The following is a 21,208-nucleotide window of genomic DNA, read 5'->3' as shown; positions in this document are numbered from 1 at the left end:
CTCTACCATTCTGTCTCATCTTTCCCTGTTCCTCAACCTTTTGGGGTCCCTCTGATAAACTATAAATGCTGTATTTTAATACCTTCTTCATGTTTTTGCTCGAAGACAGATGCCTTTCCCCGGCCCTTCCTTGCTAAGCAATCTCTCTTCCAGGGAACATCTATTGATCCCCGGGCCTGTCTTCTGTGCCCCCTGCCACTCTGGTCATGATGCCAGCACAGCCCACATGGTTGCTTTTCATGCTAGCCTGCAAATTCTCTGAGGACAGTGGCTGTCACCTCTGTATTCTCAGCATTAGCATGGTGTCGGCACCAACAGGAATATAATAAAACTTGGAGTTGAATTATTTAAATAAAAAGTGAACAACGATTCAGCAATATAACATTCTCATCTTGAAGAGAATCTTGGCACTTGTACCGCAATATTAAAAGAGTAGAATCCCGAGGAACCAGCAGGTGGGACTGGGATCCTCTCCAGAAGTTGTCAGTTTCTGAGAGCTACACAACGAAAAGAGGTTTGGAGAATGAGGACGGCTTGAAACTTGGAGCAGGTTCAAAGAAATCCATGGAGCCCTAAAGATGAAATCTAAGTGTCTGAAAAAAGGAAATCTTTAAGGCAAGAGGAGAAAAGGTCAAAGTGCAGCTTAATAATGATATCCACATTTTAAAAATTCATCTTCACAGAAGATGAGCATCTCTTTAGGAACCAGGAACAGGGAAGACAGTGTTAATCAGTGGCAGAAGAAATTTAAACAACATCAGGTTTCTTGAAGCTCATAAACTGGGACAGGTTGCTTAGGGAGATTTAGAAATCTCCTGCCCTTCTTTCGGTAGAGAGTGATGATAGGGACAAGAGACTGCAGGGGAGGAAGTGTAACACTGACTTTGGCAGGAAGACCTGCCAGGGGTGGGAGATGGAAGCAAAGGATTTTAGGGTCTTTTACAAACACTAGAAATCAATGGTGTTTTAAAATGCTGATTTTACATAGTAGTAAGCATTTATAACATTTCACTCATTTTTGCCTAGGAGAAATGTTGAATTTACAAGCATACAGTGAAAAGAACGAGCTACCTTTTCCAAGTGCAATCAATTGATGATGATGCTTGATTCTAGATATTCCTACTCTTACTGGCTATAAAGTATCAGTTAAAAAGATATTTTTTATGACCTGCTGATTGATCCCAGGTAGCACTTGGAGCAAGGCAAAATTGTTAGCTCTGCTGCCTGGAAAAATCATTGTTATTTGGGAATTACAAGTCAGCTTCCACTGCTTTTATGCTGATATTTTTTCCCCTTTCTGATATGTAAATACCATGTAATGAAGCCACAAAGATGTTCAAATGTTTCTAGTGGAAACTGCATTACCAGTTAAAATTGCTGTATGTTTCTTTTCTATGTTGGTAAAAGAATTTAGGTTTCCTTGGAATGGAAAATGCTGTTATTGCAAAATTTATTATTTTTTCCCCTATAATCCCTTTTATCTTTTCCATATAGTAACTAATTACTAAAAGAAACCCGTGTAAACTTTACCAGTTTTTGTTCTTATGAGGCTAAGAACAGTCTAACAGGAACCAAGCCACATGCTTTAATCCATAATAAGGAAAAAAGATTTTGCAAACGTTTCTCTTCACGGTATTAAAAGTAAATGAAGGTTAAAGAAGGAGGCTAAAAAGAAAGCCTTATTAATGGGAAATACATTCTGATACATTCTGATACATCAGACGGATTCCAATCTTAATAGTCAATTTAAATAATAGAATTGGTTAATAGCATCAAATTAGGATTAAAGAGAGAGATAAAAATCTATTTCCCCAAGTTGTTTCAAAACAAGACATTCACTGGCTGATGCCATATTACATCAATCTGATTATACTGTTCATAATAAAGTATGCCCTATGATAGAATCCTGCTGGGAGATGTGTTTAATCAGATGCCTTTGATATTATTTGAGCAAAAACTACTTTAGACTCAAAAGAATCAAAGAGAAAAATCTTTTGCTCCTGCAATCAGTCTTAACCCACGGTGGAAACTAGTGCTGTGTACACAACCCGTCCTAATCTACTCACAGACATAAGCACGACCTAACTGGCTGGGATTTCAGATTTGTCTTTTTCAGAAGCCATGAAAGAAATTTGCTTTGCTTAATAACCATGTTCCACACCAACTGCTCATTTCTAAGTTTATCACAAATCAAGTCGAGATAAAGATTTTCTGTTGGCAGGAATTTTAACGGGCACTAGTGACTACAATTAACAGCCACCCAATAATAATTTAAAATGATTATCTCAGATCACTTTGTTTGGCTCCCACAGGAATTACATTGACACATTCATTTCCCAAGACAATCTTTCTATTTCATTGACCAATCTTGAACATTTCGTAAAGATATGGCAAAGAAATAACAGACAAGATGAAAAGTTTTATAACTTACTTTTCTCCTTTCACGGAGTGCGCTATTTTTGCATTTTCCCGAGCTTGCCCCTGAGTGGTGGAGTTCCCTTCCTGCTGCCAGCTCCCACTGTATGTCAGGACAACTTAAAGTGGCCCTCCTTTTGCCAGTTCCAGATTAGTCTTTAAATTAGAATCAGGGATGAAAGAGGCCATCGGATGCGAGGACATCAGCCCAGTAACTTTGAGGGAAGAAGGTTTTCCTTCCCCTGCTGCCTATGCCGTGGGGTTTGAGCACGTCTCTCGGGGGGAAGTAAGACCCAGCCAGCCCCCAAGTTGCTGATGCAGCCTAAAGCGACTTAGGAAGGGAGTGGGAACAAAAGGCATCTCTTAAGTTAGGTGATTAGCAGCAAATGATGTATGGGGGTGGGAGGGAGCCTGGTATACAAGGAAGGGGAGCTGGCAGTTGCCCTTGTCTGGAGGGGGAAGGACAAAGAATGCTGGCCCTGAACATTTGAGGCCCTGGGGGATTTCTTAACGGAATCAAACAGCACAGGACTATGTGCAGCCTTGTACAGTAAGAGCTAAAGTTCTTTGGACATGTTGTCCTCACAGACAGCTGAAAATATCTAGTGGCAAATACCTATCAGCTACTGATGCATTTCAGAAACAAAAGATAATGGGAAGGCTAACAAATCACATGTCTTTTTCACTTACCATTACTTAGTGTTTCCAGTAAGTAAATGCAGTATCTCAGCTGAGCTTCTCTTTCAAATTATTGTTAATTAAATAATACTCCCTAAGAAACCTGTCATTACCGACAGCCAGGAATGGGTTTGTTGAGTTTGCCTGAGGCTATAAATGCTCCGACAAACGGGATCTTAATTGCCATAAGAGGTAATATCATTGGGGATTGTAGTTCACTTTTTCCAACAATTTTATAGTATGTTTTACATCTTAAACTTTTGCATTTTGCTTCTACGTGTGGAGTTCCACAGGGCCACAGGGATCATTCTCTAATGATTCATCCATTGAATAAGCCATTCTTCATAATGGAAAAAATGCATGTTGCTATTGAATCTGTAATTTCCCCCCAGTTCCATTATGACTAAAGAGAAGCAATTGATAACAGATTTTAAAATTAACTTAATTTCCTCCAGTTCATTATATTACTTATCCTTTGAAATAAATGACTTTTGCTGGGAGATATAATTTCTGGTATGTCACGGACCTAACTCTGACATTATCTCTTGTCAACTGTTTTCCTAGTAGACAGGAGAGTTAGGTAGGTGGAACAATTATCACTGGATGGAGTTGAAAGGGAGACAGATGAGGGCATTTGGCTGCAGAGAGCAACATGTGCTATGGCCTAGAATTTAAAGTGACCTTATCTACAAACATTTTCCTTCTGTTCATGAGCAGAGAATAAGGACAAGTATTAAGAAAAAGTCACATTTTTTTCAGAGTTATAAAAGTCTCCATATGCCATTTCAAAAAGAAGTACTATTTCAGCCTTTTCTTAAATGACCTCTTTTTCATCATAATATAATATATTTCTTTCACCTTTTGACTGGTACTTTGGTTTCTTAATCAAGTTACATGTTTCAGAAAAATTACACTTTAGAATGCGTCTTGGTGGTATTTCATTCCAACAGTTTCATTTGGTTGAATTAATGTGCAGCTGTGGCTTAGTGGAGGGAGAGAGAGGGAGGGAGGGAGAGAAAGAGGAGAAGATAGAAGAAGGCTCATATAATCCAACCTCCAAGCATAACTTTCCTCAATTTCACGTTTCAGTATCATTATAGAAACCTCTATCTGTAATAAAAGCATAATTTAGGTCAATAGTACTAAAACGTATATACCCATATTATATCAGTGATCTACTGTTCTGTGGTCAAAATTCTTTCCTTTCTTCCTCTTCACCAAGTTCACCTCTTGTTTTTGTCCTTTCTCTATCTGGTGTCACTTGATAATCTTTCATTCTCTTTTTTTTTTCTTTCCAGGTTCTTGTCTCTTTTTCCCGTTAAGGCGTGAATGAGCAGGCATCTCAGCCAATATGTCTATACATGGCTGAATACACTTGGTGAAAAGCAGGGTCTCCTTTTGTCTGGACCCTGGATGGCTGCGTGTCATTCCGCACCAACGGGCAGGGCCTCCCTCACAGTAGGAACTTTGCAATAATTGCCAGAACAAATTGAGCTCAGGCTTATCGGTTCCTTTCCTTTTTCCGTTGGAAAATGGAGGGAATAGGGGAACAAGGCCAGTTTTGACCATTAACAATACGGCGTAGAAATAGATTGGATACAGCCAGTGCCCAGTCTTGTTGCAAACAGTCACGGGATAGGTTGTGTACAGGGATGATAAGATGCGACCCTGTAATCACACAGCTAACCGAGCCCTGATTTCTCCACACCCCCCAGGGTGCTCTGGTGTGTATGATACGCATTTATAGCCGTTGGCAGGGGAATTGTTGGAACTGACACACAGACCGCCGGCAGAGGTGAGAACAAAAGATGTGATGGGTTGGTGCTTGTGTTCTTTTTGCATCTGGTGAAGACCAGCAGAGGCAACTCTCAAACTGTTTTCACCAGATTGCAATGAGAAAAATGGTCTTTGGTAAGAAATCTGAACATATAGGGGAAAGAAACTCATTTAAAAATCATGTTACACTTTCTTTTTTTCCCTGTACAAGTCTTTATCAGAATCTCTATGAATCATTGATATAGTTCATGTACCTACATCCCTCTCCCCGTGTTCGGTGTAGTAAGCATGTGTGTATGTATGTGTATGTGTAACTAACATTTTTTGTTAATTTCATGTGTATATAGGTAACTGGAAATGATAATGTATATACATAAATGTAAATGCAAACATGCAATGGCATGGGTGATTTTCTCTTTACATACATACGTATGTTTATACTCCAAAGGTTGATTCTAAATCTACAAAATGCCACAAGCTCCCTGCTAGAAATCTTTCCTTAATGAGATATTGTGTTGGATTTGCTTGAGGGTCACATACACAACCAAGGTTGTATCCTGTGTTGCCCACTATAGGATGGTTGAGAGGGGAGAGGAGACAAGGCCTTACCCTAACTGGGCAGCCAGACTGTTGTTTCGAAACTGCTGAAGCAGCCAGATCACCTGTGTGTGTGACAACCCAGTCTGTATTTCTAAAATAATGTTATTTATATAGGGGTGTGTGTGTGTGTGTGTGTGTGTGTGTGTGTGTGTGTGTATTCATTCTCATCCAACTGGGGTTAAGCTTTGCTCAGCTGCTTTCAAAGTGACTGGAAGTAGACGACATGAGGAGCTACAGCCAACTGAGTGGCTTTCCATCTGCCTCTGCTTTGCTTGGAAATAACCAGCCAGAGCAATGGTTTTAGCTTTATTCATTTGTTGTTGTTGTTCTGATCTGAAGCAGAGGCTGACATGAAACAAACATAGCATTTCCTTTTGAAAATTGAATTCTGAAGTTGGCTTCATCTTTCCAGAATCACAGTGCTATTGCAGTTCCTTCCTAGCTTTGTGAATGTCATAAACAATTTGCATATAAAGCTCCAAATGTGGAGGTAATGACCACATTTGTGTTTTAGGATTTTTGAGGGGAGGGGTTTGATTTTTAGTGGTTATGAAGGGATTTGTTGAGATTTGTGGGATGAATGGAACTAGTTTCCCCTATACAGGAGAGATCAAGAAATGGGGAAACAAATTCATAATAAAGAACACCTTTGCCAGTCTTTTACTGGCAATTTTTAAGGAAACACAGCAAAATGTAAAGTCATACAAATGTGGCTTTTTGAGGAACTTCATTAGCATCACCCACAATCCATAGTTTACAATAAATGGGCACTGGGGCCCCCACAGGTCATGGCCCATAGCCAGCTTGCTGCAATGGAAGCGATGCTTACAGTAAGGCGAGTTCCCTGGACACGATATATGAGGTATGGATGACAGTACATTATCTAAGCCAGTTGCACTGTAGTGACTTGAAATTGGAAGACACTTAGTGGAGCAAGTAGGGGGGAAAAAGGGATACTAGAGAAACACAGTGCATTAAAAGTCTCTCAGCATTAAATATGCTTAGGAGAGATAAGAAAAAGAATATTCTTAGAAAAGATTTACCATTATTCTTTAGCAGTATGTCCTTCCCCTCCCCAAACACACACACTCACACACCTACACATCCCTACAGACAGAAATGAAAAGGGATTTCCTTCACTCAGAACATCCTTAGCGTATCTTGATGTCTTGAATCTTTTGGGGCCATAAAGAAAAATACTTGTTTTAGGGAGAAATAAGGATTTGAGAATCTTGGCTATCAAGATTGTCATTTCTGTTCTCCACACATGCAGTGAAAGGCAAACCATGCAATTTTGACTTAATTTCATTTTGACGCTGGTGATTGGATCACGGCTGCTCTTGCAGATACAGTTGAGGCCTATTAACTTGAGAGTAATCACAAAGGGACCCGTGATATGTACAGAATCACATTCTCCAGGGGAGACAACTTGATGGGAAGTATGGCTGCATTGCCTGGGTTCTAACCTCTGCTCCACTGTGTACAGGATGTGTAAACTTGGGCAAGTACTTAACCTCTTTGTGCATCCGAGTCCACACCTGTAAAACGAAGCTAATAGTAGTTCCTATGTCTACTACATAAGTCACTATATGTGAGGTAATGGGGCAGAGCCTTCGCACACAGCAAATGCTCAATAGATACTAGTTATTAGTACTAGTAAGCGAACGTAAGCCTTGGGGTCAGGCAGAATCAGCTTTAGATTCTACTTCTGTGTTTTTTGGCAAATGATTTAATATTTCTGAGGCCCAGACGGTTTCCAATGCATAGAATTGCAGGGTTGCTATAAGCATGAAATCCTCTTGTGTGCCACAGGAAGGCCCCGTGTGTAGAACATAAGAGATGCTCAGTAAAAGTTTGTCTTTCCAAAAGTAGAGAAGAAAATATCCCTATGGCATAAACTATCATGTTCATCTTTCCTCATAATTGTTTGGATCTTTTCCTTCATTATTTTTGGAGGGAGGGAGTGAATTTTTCTAACTTGGGATTTCATGGTAGTTATTGGCCAGGAGTGGTGGTTCCTCAAAGTGATTGAAGTTGCAAACTCTGTATTTGATGGATAGTGAGAAATGGAAGCTTGTTAGTAATGAGACATAAAATTGTAACTGGCTTGTCAAAAAGACACTCTATACCTGACTTTTGGGGAAAAAAACCCCAAACACCATAAATATGTTTCTTCATTGTGATGATGTGGAAATTGTCAGATTCTCAAGCGGAGAAGAAGGCAAATTAGGCCTCACAAGCCTCTCCAAATACAGAGAGAATAGGAAACTGATTTTCCAATACTACAATTTGCACATGATTCTAATGAGAAAATCTGAGGGGATATCATGGCAATATGTCTCCCCAGTGGCAGCTGATCATTATATATATATATACTGTCATTAGAGATGGTACCAGACACCTTTAGGAGTGTCTGTCTAGCATATTTCTGTCTTAGAACTGACCTTCCATCCTTAAAGGACTGGCCCCTGCAGCCTTGTTTGTAACAAAGAACTTGCCCATCCCCCAGGCTGAAACTGGAACAGGATGGACACTGAGCCAAGCCAGGCCAAGCACATTGTTTGCTGGGAGTATGGAAGGGAACCTGCAAGGATGGCTGGGGCGCTGTGCCCTGCAGAAGCAGAGCAGAGGAAGTGGGACAGAGAAGAGGGAGGCGGGGAGGGCATGGGAAGAGGGCAGGCTCTTGCTCCTTGTTTCAGTCCCTCTGGAGGCTGAGCCCAAACTCCTGTGTGTGGATTCTGAGTTACCTCTGTAGTTGTGCGCTAATTTCTTTCTTTGCCTTAAAGCCATCTTGAGGGAATGTTGTTTCCCTCAGACCTAAACTTTACTAGGAGGAGTTCCCAAAACTTTACTAGGTTAGTCCCTAGATAGATACCTCATGGGAAGCTGGCCTCAAGTTGTGGATCCAAGGAAAAACCATTGAGAGATTTCCATGGACTTAATCCTCTTCTCTGTCCCCTAGATTGTTTCGAACACCTTTATTAATTAGGTGAACTGTGGAAGGTAAAGTCGTAACAAGACGGCCCTTGAAGAAATGGTGGTGACATCATGAGCTGCATGTCCCGTAACTCTGCGTGACTAGAACATCATGTCATGAAAGGATTTTTGAATACTCATTTTTAAAGAAATGCAGTATGATATAGCATTTAAGTAAAATAGTAAGTTTCTATTGTAAATGTTGTAAGTTATTGTAAATGTTTGTAAAATAGTAAGTTTCTATTGTAAATGTTGTAAGTACAACTATACTAACAGGAATTGTTTGTAAAACGGTGAATAGAGAATCACTATTGGAATTATTTACCTTTTGTAAATTACCATTTATTTCAAAAAAAGTAATGTTACTATTCACACAGTAAAAAGAAGCTATTTGCTTCTCTTGAGAAATATGTCTTCATTAAGCTATATATATAAATAGCTATATATATATATATATAGCTTAATGAGAAAATATATATATTTAAGTGACAAGGTCTTGCCTTATTGCCTAGGCTGGAGTGCAGTGGCACAATCATGGCTCACTGCAGCCTCAACCACCTGGGCTCAAGTCATCCTCCCACCTCAGCCTCTTGAGTAGCTGAGACTACGGGCCTATATCACCATGCCTGGCTAATTTGTAAATTTTTTTTTTAGAGACATGGTTCCTCCAGGTTGCCCAGGTCGGAGCCTTATATTGTTTATGTGACTAGTATACCTCCTTCCCAGAGCAGATTCCATATCTTGGTGGGTCACTAAGTTTCTCTGTAGAATTAGAAATAGAATTAGAAATGCATAAATATTCCTTTCCCTGTGTTTTCTGGATGCTTTGATCCTCTATGCTGTTGACCTTCTTGCTTCATTTCAATGTTAATTTTCAAAATGGACCATTACAATTCACTTGATTTGAAAACAAAATTCCAACCCACGTAGTTCTTTTTTTTTTTTTCCCCATGTAATTCTTTCTGAGAGTTAATTTATTTCCAAGCTATCAAAATTTAAAAATGTTTTGGAGATCAAAGTGTCAATTCAGTTTTGCAAATCTGGTAACTCTAAAAACTCTGAGATTCTTATTGCTACTTCTATTTTATTTTATTTAGTACAATGGGAAGTATGTGTGCTACTAGCAAAAGGTCCATGCAGTTAGAAGATGAGCCAACATGCCATTCTTTGTAAAAAATGACAATTGTAACTATCAGATCCAAAGTTATGATTGAGAGAGGCTAGGGGGCTGGAGAATGACTAGAGTTAATAGATTTGGTGCTGTTCTTTGCTTTTTTTTGGTTTTCTTTTTAGCAGCTGTAGGGGTATATGTGTAGAAAGTAAGGTGTTCCAGTTCCTGCAGACAGTGACCCTATTTTCAATTTCAATTGAAAACAATATCTAGGGCATATTCTTGGGCAGCCAGGCCAACTGGTTTATTTCTAGTGAGCTCTGTGAAGAGCATGTTTAAAATACTCCTGAGGGTTTACTTGGGAGCTGAAGTTGTTTGATATTACAAGGCTTATTTTGAAATGATTGATTCCATTTGTGGATAGTGTCATTTCCTGAAGTTATGAGTCAAGATTATTGTTAAACATTGACAGACCCTGTTGAGGATTTTCTAAATATGTCCAGTGGCTTCCTACATTTTATTTTAGTACTAATCATTCACATCTAGACCATGATGGAGGATTCTAACTGGTTTTGCCACAACCTTGACTTCAACGTCAGCTCTGGGCTTGGTTCATTAATGTCTGCTTTCAAGTCTGAGAGGTCTGGCTATTATTCACTGTGATGCTAATGTTTCCTCCTAGTCCTAGATATTGATAAATGGGTGTGGTTGCTTTCAGTCCCCTGTGGCTTTGAGTCACAGCCCACATTCACTTCTAGCCAGTGTTTTGATCAGTGATTCTGTAGTGAGGATAGTTTTGGCAGGGAACTGTCAGCTCCTGCAGCAAGCTCTACCCTGCTGGGGTTCCCATACTCTAAGTTGACCAGTGCAGTGAATCAAAGCATCCAGAAAACAGATGGGAGGGGATATTCCTGGACATAGCCTGGTCTTTGCTAGCAGTGACATGTGAAGTTTTTTAGCTTATCTACCAATTTTTTTAATGGAGACAAAGGGAGGGAGTGTTGTGTGATGGGCCGAGAGGACAGTGGGTTGGTGGAGAAATCAGTGGGAAGGGGTGAGACTAGGTTTGGACAGGAAAAATAATAAGAATTGTGCAATATGTTAACTTTTTTTTTTTTAACACCTTGCTAAACCACCAAACTCTTTTTCCCTCAGCTGTGACCTTGATTTTTTTTGAAAGTTAGAAGCATAAACATGCCAGATAAGCACAAAAACTCTGAGCTTACATAAAGCATATAATGATGTTATCAATAAAATTTTAAAACAGAATTACCATAGTGGTACATATTTAATTATGCACACACTTCTTACTGTGCTATATAGTAATAATAGCAAGCGAATCACATAAACACTGTAGCTGGTGTTACTTTTAATAGGGAAGGTAACTAATATTTATTGAATCCCTAATATCTGCCGGGCTCCATGCTGGGTGCTTTACATATGTTATCTCATTTAATGGATAGCTAACAAGGTGTTTCCAGGCTCGGTGTGGGCAGAGGAGGGAGAAATGATACTTCTGGGCCCTTCTAAAGATGCAGAATTCTCTTTTCCTTGTCAGGGGCACATATTTTCCCATTGGTCCAGGCATCTGTCACATCTCCTTGGTTTAGGAATGTGTGCTTCCTGAGCCCTGGAATCTTCGTCACCCCTGGACAGAGTGAGGACACAGTGCCCAGAGTTGGGAGTTGACCGAACCTACCTTCAGATGGGATTTCTGCTTGAAAACCAGGAAGCAGAACTCAGAGTAAGTCAATGGTTTTTGAGGAGAATGTGAACAGGAGACTCACTGCAGCCCCCAGCACTACTCTCCTCTTTCTCCCCCAACGCACAGCCTCCCAAAGAGAAGAGAAGGAAGCCAAAGGGTGTGTTTCAGAGAAGGCCCCACCACCTTCACCCCTCTTATGCCCTTCCAAACATGTTCATTGACAATAGCATTTCACTATTTAGAGTCTGGCTCTTTCATCTTTTGGGATTAGGGAATTCTTTGAAAGTCTGACAACAATCTTGACTACACTCTTCAGAAAAATGTACCAATATTTACACTTCAGGTTAACATTCCTTGATTTAGAGATTCACACAGACCACCAAGGAAAAGCTCTGGGAGGATGAGGGAGGTAGTTGAGAGTCTATCAGCCATTGATTCTCTTGAGGATGATACCGGGATGGGGTGAGGAGCTGGGGCTGAGATTAGAAGAAGCAAGGATAGGAGAACAGTGCTGAGAGCACTCATGAAGGTGCCTACAAGGAAGCGAGAAGGATCCCAGAGGGGAAAAGGGAAAAGAGACAACAGAAAGGGCCCTTGAAATGGTACTCCAAGGGAGAGATGGGAAATTCTAAGTCCAGGAAGACAATTAAGTCGGGTAAGAAAGTGAGGTATTTAGATAAAAACACACAATTGCAATAACAAGAAGTTGTTTACTACAATATGTTGAATCCTGAATGGTATATAACTTAGTGTGAATTACGCTTTCTAGACATTCAACTGCTATCAAAGAATAATTGCCATGCTAAATTATTTATATTTGTGGAGCAAATGACTTTAGGCACTAAGGCTTTTATCTCTTCCCCTGAGGAACCTTTTGAACTTTGTTTTCTTGAACTCTATGCCATCCAGGCAGGTGTGTTACCAGAAAACTTCAAGGATCTTGAGTTATTAGCCCTTATTATTGGTGCTGCCACCATTGACATGCCCTAGATGCCCCCCCCCCCTTTTTTTTTTTGTAAGATATTCATTATTGGATACTAGTCAGGCATCTTACATTAACAACTATTGTTTGATTTCTGTTTCCTTTTGGTGAAGTGAAAAAAAATTATTTCAATTTTTGGAGCAGAGAGGATAATATGTCATTTTGGTAAAGTTACTGGCTATATTCCATCACTGAGAAAATGCTAGCCATATGTGATTGGTTGAATTGTGTCCCTCCTAGAAGATATGTTGAAGTCCTTACCTCTAGTACCTATGACTGTGGCCTTATTTGGAAATAGGGTCTTTGCAGATATAATCATGTTAAGATGAGGCTGTTAGAATGGGTCCTTAACCCAATATTGAGGCAGGAGAATAGGGTCTGAAGGCAGAGAACCTAAGGCCGATTCATGCTGACTTCCTTATTTTTAACTGACAAATTATAATTGTAATATATTTATGGGGTACAAGGTGATGTTTTGATATATGTATACATTGTGAAATGACTAAAGCAAGCTAATTAATATATCCATCACCTCACAGTCTTCTTCTTTTTAATGGTGAGAACATTTGAAATTTACTGTCTTAGCAATCAGAAGGAAAAGGAAAACCCCAACTTTTCACGCCTAAGTAACAAAAGGACCAGAGGCTGCTTCCTTTGCACTCCCCTCCCCTTTTTGCCTAGCAGATGGAAGATTGAGAGTACCTCTGATTGGTACTCCTATGCAAACCAATTGCATAGGAGTGTAACTTTGTAACTTCACTGCAGCCTCTGAATGCGGGCCAAGTCTTCGTTTGCATAGGAGTGCAACTTCGTAACTATTTAGCCTCTGATTGGTTGTGGAAAGCAACCAATCAGACGTTCGCATAGGAGTGTAACCTTTATAACTTCACTTCAGCGTCTGATTGAGGGCCACTACTTCATTTGCAAGGGGTGTATACCAAATGGCCAATGGGAAACCTCTAGAGGATATTTGGACCCCAGAAAATTCTGTAACAGGGCTCTTGAGCCCCTCTACTTGGCCTGCTCCCACCCTGTGGAGTGTACTTTCATTTTCAATAAACCTCTGCTTTGTTGCTTCATTCTTTCCTCGCTTTGTTTGTGCATTTTGTCCAATTATTTGTTCAAAATGCCAAGAACCTGGACACCCTCCACTGGTAACAATATGACTGATGTCCTTCTAAGAATAGGAGCAGACAGACACACAGGGAAGGAGGTCATGAGAAGATGGGAGAGACAGGGTTTGGGCTCATGATGCTACACACCAAGGGATGCCTGGGGCCATGAGAAGCCGGAGGAGCCAAGGCAGCTCCTCCCCTAGTGGCTGTGGAGGGAGCATGGTCCTCCCAACATCTTAATTTTAAACTTCTACCTTCCAGAACTGAGAAAATAAATTTCTGGTTTTTTTTTTTTTTTTTTTTAAGTCACCCAGCTTGTGGTACTTTGTTACGTCAACTTAGGGAACTAATACACCATGAATAATTATTTTTCTATAGTTAGTAATCATTTTGATCCGATTTTGAATGAGTTCTGTAGTTTTATATACTGTTTGAGATAGAATACTCGTGAGTAATAAAAATCCAAAATATTTTCCCAATTAATATTAAATTCAAATACCCTACTTGTATAGGCCACGTATGTAACATTTATATATGTGATGACTCAAATTTACCTTTTCACAAAATGCAAAATTGCTATTTTCCTTTTAAAACTAAAAAATTAATGTATTACCGTTAGTGAACAGAAAATATAAATAACAATGTCATATAATTCTTTAGTACTTATTACCTGAGATATTCTAAATAAGATTCTGACTTAAAAATACCAAAAGATATATTTACTCCTAAATCAAAAAATTACTTCAAAATAAATACTTTTAAGAAAGTTTTTAAATATTGCCTGACAGTCACTATTTGTGTCTAGGACATCTAATTATTGAAAACAATGGCAAAAAGAAGAGAAAATCACAAATGGCTAAGTAAAAAGCCTCTGCAAAACAGCTTATGCAATAAATAAACCATATGGTCAAGGGATATCAAAAGTCTCAAATTTATTTTGAGACCAGAGTCCATCTGATCCTGCAAATTACCTTCAGGGAAAGATGGTGGTGCTACCCTAGTAACTCCCATGGGTGTCTGTCATGCGTATGACTTCCAGGACTGTTTTAAACAGCAAAGACGACACACAATTCTGAGATGTGATTAGCTGAGTAAGTACAGCCTTTGTAGTGGTGGTTGCCTGTTTATGCTATTGCCTCCCTGCCCTGCATAAGGCTTCTGTGAGCTGCTCCTCCTGTTAAATTAGATGTGTTTTGGATCTTACTCAGCTTCTTACTTTTTTGTCATTTGCCTAAGTGAAATTTATCATAAAGTCTGTTGTTTTGAATTCAATGCCAGGAAGACTAAATGCAAATGTACCCAAAGGAGTTCATTCCAAGATGGCTCTGAGATGTGAATATCATTGCAGAATCATATCAAGGTCACTTGTATTTATTTTTTCCCCCCTAAACAGTTTCTTGACTTTAAAATGCCTTTGGAATTTTAAACTGAAAATTCTAATCCCTTTCAGTGAGCTCAGTCTCTATGCAAAACTTGCTTCCCGCCTGCCAAATTGAAAGCATCTGGATGGAATACTGAATTTAGGTCATTTTTTTTTGTTTGTTTTTAAAACCAGTGTGTCCTCCTCTAGAAGAAAGGAACTCAAATCCAATAACATCACACAGAGAAGAAGGTCAAATTGTTCCAACAAGAGCTTTTCTTTTCAACAGTTGGTTGGAATTGAGTATGGGACACTTTCCCTCTTCCCTGTCTCTCCTTCCCCAGACACCAAATCTCGATGCCTGATTTAAATTTTTGAAGAGTTACAGCCTTTCACTCTCAGTTGTCAGTATAGCACCATTCTCTCCTAAGAGGAATGATTAGAGTATTCCTAGTTAATAACCTGAGGTTAGGCAGAGGGGAACAACACTTTTCCATCTTCCCAGGGAAGGCTCCTGGAGTGGTGTAGACAGGGTTTCTCGGACTTGAAAGTGCATAGGAATCCTCTGAGGGTCGTGTCAGCCTGCAGATTTTTCTGAGGTCACCCCGGGGTGGGGCCTGAGCTTTTGCATTTCTGAAAAGCTCCTAGGTGGTACCAACAACTGCTAGTTGGTGGACCACATCTTGAGTAGCAAGGAGTGGCACACTTTGAGAACATCTAGTTTAGGTCAACTTTTTGGGTCCAGACTTTCTCCCAACACCTGGCCATTTCTGGGCTTAGTATGGTGGTGTGCATATAGGACTTAGCATTAGTATCTACCACACATGGATGTCATTCCACCACTTCCTCTTCCCCCTTCATCCCAAATCTCTCCCCACGAGATGCACTAACTGGTATTTTAAAAATCAGTGTTTATAGAAACTTGCCATTGCAGAACAAACATTTTTAATTGAGGTGAGTGTGAGAAAACAAGGGAAGAGGCTTATCTACATTGAACCTATATCCCATCATCAAAAAATTCAGAATATAATTTTACCAGAGGTGATAGAGTGTCCTTACTATGTACTTAGCACTAAGGTAAGTAATAGCCACAATGATAGCAAATTGAGACATATTTAATTTTCAGCTTTTCAAAAGCTTTAAATAAAAAAGATGATAATAATACGACCAAAGCTATTATATCCACAGCAGCACTTAAGACTGATAGATATAATGTTCCACTTAGGAGCTATTACTGTACGATTAACTAGATGGTATTAAAAAGAAGTTTCTTAACACACTTAAAGTTGTAAAGCTGTTCAGAAATAGATCTGTGCTTCTCAAGTAAATACAAACAAGGACTGCAGTCATTTTAGTGGATAATAAAAGAAATCAACAAGCCAACTCCAGCTCCCCATGGATGAGATTTAAAGCAACAAATCTATGCTACTTTATGCAATTAACATAAAATATACTTAAATTTGGAAGATTTACTCTGCCATCACCTTCCCACACAACAAACACAAATCCTGGGCTAATTTGCCTTCATTAATTCACATGCAATTGCAGGGCTGATTTCTGCTTTCAGATGCTTATGTGCAATCTAGCTTCAAGTTAAATTGCTGCCTATAGGGCCCTTTAGCGTCTGTTCAGATCCTGAAGGAGTCACAGGTTATACACATCATAAGCCTTAAGCCTGATTCCCCAACCCTGAGGGAGGCTCTATTGCTGCCTACAGAATCAAAGGGGTTTGTGGAGAACAATTGCTTGCCAATTGTCTGGCAGAACTCAGACCCAGCTGCTTGGCTCTGGAAGGGAGAGGGCTGTGGTGGTCTCGTGTGGGAAGAGATATTTTCCAAGATGCCTTTTTGATGGGCAACTTTCCTGACCCTGCTTTCCCCCAAATATGGCAAAGAATGGGCCTAATAAATTATGATTGAGGGCCAAATACATCATTAACAACTTTTGGTGTTTTGGAGTTCTTTTTAGAACAGGATTTTTAGAATGTTCCACTATTCCTCTTCAGTAAGGAAGACCCTATTCTGAAATAGAATAAATACTACAGAATGTTTCAATATTATCACTTACAGTAAAATAAGAGGATGGAGGGACACAGGAAGGAGGTTGTAGGGAATGAGAAGGCAACCAGATGGAGAAGGTCTCATAGCAAGACTCAGGCAGACAACAAAAGAGAAGCAGAGCTGGAGAGAAGGGGCAGGATGAAGAGGAAATGCCATGATCAGAAAGACAGTCATGTTTGTTTAAACACACACATTATGCTGTAGATGGGTCTTATTTAAGAGTGTTTGAAGGAAGACTAGCTCCTTTACTCATAAAAGGAGTTGATTGATAACCCAGATTATTCACTGATAATCTACATTTTAAAATTAGGACATAAGAGGGTAGCAGCTGTGTGAGGTCAACTGGGACACAGCCAGCTATGGATTGCCTGGATGGAAAACGGGGTGGGGTAGAGGCTGGAGAATTCTCAGCTTTCTCTGTTTTAAGTTTTGGTTTTCCTCAATTCCCAAAGAGCTAAGATCTTGCCACGTATTTTACGTATTTTATATTTAAAAAAAATAACACCAATGATAGGGAAAACCTCCAAACATATTATTTTATCCTTCCATCATATTTGATCCTTCCAACAAGTCTGAGAAGTAGAAGGAACAGGCATTCATACCAGTGTCATCCAGTCAAAAGGCAAATGAGGAAACAGACCTGGCATTGAATTTCTTGGAGAAAATTACCCAGCTAGGAAGAAGTAGTCATATTCATGGTGGTTAAGTAGGGAGTGCCTCTGCCACCAGGATATTCTGGGCAAGTAATTTAACTTTTCTATGCCTCAGTTTCCTCATCTATGAGGAAAATGAGAATGATAATAAGAATACCTGACTTTTAGGGTGGTTGTTAGCATTAAATGAGATAGTACAACAAGCACTTTGAACAGCATTTGGCAAAACTCTTAAGTGCTAAATAAATGCTGGGTATGACTGTAATTATTAAGAGAGATTAAGCTATTCAGACCAGGTGTTCTAGATTCACATCCCAGAGCTCATTTTATTAAACTATAATTAGACAACCACTGAGGAATGAGTGAGAAATCAGAGATTACTACCTCTTTTCAGAATCAGGGAATGCATCAAACACACATGATGCTCTACAATGGAAGAAAAAACAGAGGTTTCAAGCAGAACACAAGGTCTATTTAGAAGGTTTCTGACTGGAAAAAGTTCTACCAGAAATGCATTCATGCACTGAATGTTTGTCTCTGCCCTAAAATTCATATGCAATTCTAACTCCCTAGAAGGTGGGGCCTTTGGGAGGTACTTAGGTCATAAAGGTGGAGCCTTAAGAAATGAGATTAGTGGCCTAATGAAAGGAGATACAAGGGAGATGATTTCTGTCTCAACCATTTGAGGATACAACCAAGAGACAACCACCTGCACACCAGGAAGAGAACCCTCACCAGACACCAGATCTGCCAGCACCTTGATCTTGGATTTCCCAGTTTTCAGAACTGTGAGAAATAAATGTTTGTTGTTTCAGCCACTTAATCTATGGTATTCTGTTAGAAGCCTGAACTGCCTGAGACAGACTCATTAATCAAGAAGTCTTTTTTTGTGTTTTTTGTTTTTTTTTTAAGATAAAGTGTTTCATTGCAAAATGTCTCCCATCCAAAACTAGGTTTTTGTGGCTAAAAATGTTTTGCTCCCAATACATCTTTCTCCAAACTTTTTGTTTGTTTTTACAAAGTTATGTAATTATATTATCTGTTTAACCATGCATAGTTTTAATTTTTAAACATAAAAGCAGCTCTATTAAGATTAGAAGTCCTTTAAGCATTGGAGGGAGATTTGGTTTGTAGGTTTTAACTGCCAAATATAAAAAGTACATCATCTTGTGGTCTTACCCAGGAACAATGACAAAAAAAGAGACAATCCTAGGTATGGGAAAACCTCAGAGGGGTAACTCCCAAATCATGTAGAGAACATAGAATATCCAGGCCAGGTCACGCTTTGCATTTGATAACTGAAAGAAGGAAAGAAAAAATTCAAGCCTACTACTTCAAATACATTGAAGTTTATTATGTAGCAGCCACTTGGTTTCTATACCCACCTAGGAGCAAAGAAAGGAATGGGGGCACCCAAACCATAGGCTAGAGGATTGAGGTTAGCAATAGACTGTGGAATGGGGCCACCCCAAACGGTGAAGCTTGTTAAATGATAGGGTTATGAGAGTTCATTTTTTAGAACTCTGTAGGGTAAATTCTACAGTGAAGGGGGTCCAGGATTTAAACTTAAATGTCTCTATTTAAACGTTTTCCAGTAATTTATGAAAAGTTCTTTACAAAAGCAATGCTCAACGTGAAGATGCTGTTACCTATACAATTTAGATAACAAATATTAATTTGACATAAAATTGAAAGTTCATCATTTTGATGTCATTTAGGACAGAATTATAAGGTTCACTCTTTATGATAAATCATGTTCTTTTGCTTGCTTCTCCAACTTGAGTTCTCATATCTTTATATTCCCACATCTGGCAAATAATTTTAAACTTGTAGAATCTCTTAGAAGATGATTATGTAGTCAAAAATATTGTTAGGAGAATATGACCTTCCAGTGGTTTTATAAATAGCCATATTGAAGAAACCCAAAACATAGAATAAATGACTCAAAATTTGTGCCTCCTTAAGGTTAGTAGTCAAAAATATTGTTAGGAGAATATGACCTTCCAGTGGTTTTATAAATAGCCATATTGAAGAAACCCAAAACATAGAATAAATGACTCAAAATTTGTGCCTCCTTAAGGTTATTTAAATTTGCATATTCATATTAAAAAAGAAGAGCTGCCCTCTTTTCCAAAAAATAATTTCATTAATGGCTCCGGAATCTTTTGTCTTACAAACTGGTCTATTAAAAATTTTACCCATCAATTGTATGTTTTAATTAACTAAACTACAGACTTTATTTGGATTTCCCCAATTTTCTCACTAATATCTGTTTACTATTCCAAGATTCAATCCAGGATCCTACATTGTATTTAGTTGTCCCAGCTCTTTAGTCTCCTCTAATCTGTGACAATTTCTTCAATTTTCCTTGTCTTTCATGATATTGACACTTTTGAAGAGTACTGGGTAGGTATTTTATAGAATGCCTGTCATACCATTTAGTAAAATGTTCATACCTTAAAAATAGAAATCATAGAATTTATGAGCTGGAAGTGACTTCAGAAATCATTGTATCGATGAGTCCAAATTCCTGGTTTTACTGCCTTGGAAAGCAAGGCCTCTATGGCTTAAATGGCTTCCCTGTAGTCAGATGCCTGCTGAAGCAGGGCCAGGATCAGTACTCAGTTCTTTTGCCTCACGCATGATGCTTTTCCAAGGCACCATGCAAATAATGCATCTGTCTCTACCCAATAAACACCTTACCACAATGGGGACCTACAAACCCCGAGGATGCTGTTTTATGCTGCAGGGGCATTGTTCACATAGAATGTCTTGTGAATGCAGTTACAAAGTCAGGTGGTACTGTGTCTACTTGAACTATATATAAGATGATTGGAGGTGGCTTATAATAAAAGAGAGTGAAACAAACATATAGCAAGATCCTGCAGGTTATTTGGATATGATGTGATTAGCAAGTGGTCCTAGTCTTCTACCCAGACCTTATTTTTAGAAGAGGGTGGCTGAAAGGCAGAAATTTTTATCTTTTTTGGCAAGGGACTGAGGTAGGAAGTGACTCCTCCTTTCAGTTGAGACTTTCTTATTTCAGTGTGCATTGTGTGTTTTCTTTGCAATAATCATTCTTTTCCTTACATGTCAAATAAACGAAAATAAGTTTTTATTCCTCCCTTTTCATTCCAGACAGGTCCTGGAAGGCTGACCAAATCCAAACCAAAACGAAAACTCAAACACTGCTTTCATTAATCTTGTAATTCATAACTCCATATTTTATGTAATAGAACTTCCTGTATCTCTACTGTCTGTGTTAAGGTGGAGTTTTGCTATAGTTACCAAAATAAGATACATAAGCTAACAGAGCGGGATAAAAGATTTGGAAACCACATATCTAACAAAAAACTAGTATTTAGAACACATAACTCTCAAAACTCAACAGTGGAAAAAGCAAACAATCTAATTAGGAGGTGGGTAAAAGACATGAAGAAACGTATCACCAAAGAAGATATCCAGATGGCCAATAAGCACTTGAAAAGATGTTAAACATCATTAGTCATTAGAGAAATGCAAATTAAAGCCACTATGACATAGTGCCATACACCAATCAGAATGGCTGACGTAAAACAGTGCCAACACCAAATGCTGGTGAGGAAGTGGAGGAGCTATGTTACTCATACATTGCTGAGGAGAATGTAAAATGGTACAAACACTCTGGAAAATACTTTGGCAGTTTCTTAAAAAAAATTAAACATGCAACTGCCATACCATCCAACAGTTGCACTCGGGCATTTATCCCAGAGAAATGAAGACATGTTTACCCAAAAA

The 21,208-nt window shown here is 39.0% G+C and overlaps 1 protein-coding gene across 4 annotated transcripts in view; it reads right to left on the bottom strand.

Moving 5' to 3' along the window:
- The window catches only part of CDH20 (cadherin 20), a 222,350-nt gene that overhangs the window by 80,790 nt on the left and 120,352 nt on the right, over positions 1 to 21,208 (bottom strand). The window contains exon 1 of one of the 4 annotated variants that reach the window (XM_024451165.2): positions 2,432 to 2,806. The exons of the other annotated variants lie outside the window; for them this stretch is intronic. The gene's annotated coding sequence lies outside the window, so the exon portion shown is untranslated. Of the gene's footprint in view, positions 1 to 2,431; positions 2,807 to 21,208 lie in introns of those variants that run through there. 4 annotated transcript variants of the gene reach the window in all.

The sequence above is a fragment of the Homo sapiens genome, chromosome 18 (assembly GCF_000001405.40).
Source record: "Homo sapiens chromosome 18, GRCh38.p14 Primary Assembly".
Classification (NCBI taxonomy): Eukaryota; Metazoa; Chordata; class Mammalia; order Primates; family Hominidae; genus Homo; species Homo sapiens.
The sequence above is the reverse complement of the archived record's forward strand: the minus strand, read 5'-3'. Positions and strand labels throughout refer to the sequence as shown.